Here is a 1,759-nt window from a genome sequence, read left to right on the forward strand (position 1 = left end):
AACTGGTCAGCTGTGGGGACTTGATGACTAGTGGGCAAAGAAGCCCCAGCCACATTATTTCACTTTATTGAAGTCACTAACTCATCATCTAAGCCTTGTGCAAATCTAGAATTTAGTAACGCATCACTTCCACCATGCTCAAAGTTTTCAGAAGGGTCCCTAAATATTTGAATGTTTTTTCAAACATGATGTAAAAATCAAGTACAGTTTGAGTTGGGCATACTTTACATTATTGTACCTTTGCCCAGTCTAGCAACAAATACTTATTGCTTTTTTTTTAAGACAGGATCTTGCTCTGTCACCTCAGCTGGGGTGCAGTGGTGCCATCCCGCCTCACTGCAGTTTCAACCACCCAAGCTCAAGCTATCTTCCCACCTCAGCCCCCCAAGTAGTTGGGACCACAGGTACGTGTCACCATGCTTGGCTAATTTTTAAAATCTTTTGTAGAGATGAGGTCCCACTAGGTTGCCCAGGCTCATCTGGAACTCCTGAGCTCAAGCAATCCTCCCGCCTCAGCCTCCCAGAACACTGAGATTACAGGCATGTCTGGCAGCTTTTCTAATATGAAAGTTATTATTGAAAAAAATAAAATAAAAATCTTTCCAGTGGACATTTTTGAGCCCCTCTCATCACATTTCTTAGGAAGAAAATATCTGGGGCTCTGGAATGTTCCTTTTAACCCACAGCCTCAAACGTACCCACCCTGGACCACTGGATACAATTTTCTCTCATTGGGTGCACAGTAGCTCTGTCCTAAAGGCCGAACCTTCTCAGTAGGTGAGGCAGTATGAGCTTTGCCACTTACCTACTGTGTGACTTTTGGCAAGATCCTTCCCTTAGTTGGGCACCAGTTTTTTCTTCTTTATAAATTCAAGAGTTAGAATCAATGATCTGCAAGGTCTTTTCTGGATGTAGCAAAAAGGAGACATTTAGAACCATAAAACCCCAGGGGTAGATTTCAGAATGTGTGCATTACTTCCCAGGAAAATATTCTTTACTATTCTCCTTTGTAGATGCCTCCAGCCAGATGATAAGCACCCTTCAGCCTAGCTTGGCTCCACATCTCACTCCAGTCATGGTGTCGGACTGGGCACAAAGCAGGTGCTCAGTGAATTAGCTTGTCTCCATCCCCTAAAAAGCGTTCCACATATTCTAGGTTTGCTCATCAGTGGACCCTCCTGATGGGTGGGAATCTGGAGCACAAGGCTGGTTTTAACTACTGGAGTACTGGAGCACACACAGTGATCTTTTTTTCTGACATAGTTGGTACAGTGCTTACTTGTAATAATTCACAATTCACCAAGCAGAGCGGGTCTGGGCACCTCGAAGGCAGACATGCCAGCGGCTGAGGGGAACATGATATTCAAGTCCTCTCCGTCTGGGGTCTTGGTCCAGAAGGCCAATCTCCTGGCAGCCCACGCAGCACGTTCGAGAAATCTCACTTGTGGCGGGTTCCCAAGCTGTTGCCATGCAGCCTCTGGAAAGAGATCTGATAAGTCCCAGGACTTCAGAAGAGCTGTGCGACCTTGGCCAAGTCACTTCCTCCTTCAGGAACATTGCAGTGGGCCTAAGTGCCTCCTCTCGGGACTGGTATGGGGACGGTCATGCAATCTGGACAACATTCACCTTTAAAAGTTTATTGATCTTTTGTGACATGCACGTGGGTTCCCAGTAGCAAGAAACTAAAGGGTCGCAGGCCGGTTTCTGCTAATTTCTTTAATTCCAAGACAGTCTCAAATATTTTCTTATTAACTTCCTG

This window comes from Homo sapiens, chromosome 14 (genome assembly GCF_000001405.40).
Source record: "Homo sapiens chromosome 14, GRCh38.p14 Primary Assembly".
NCBI classification, from domain to species: domain Eukaryota; kingdom Metazoa; phylum Chordata; class Mammalia; order Primates; family Hominidae; genus Homo; species Homo sapiens.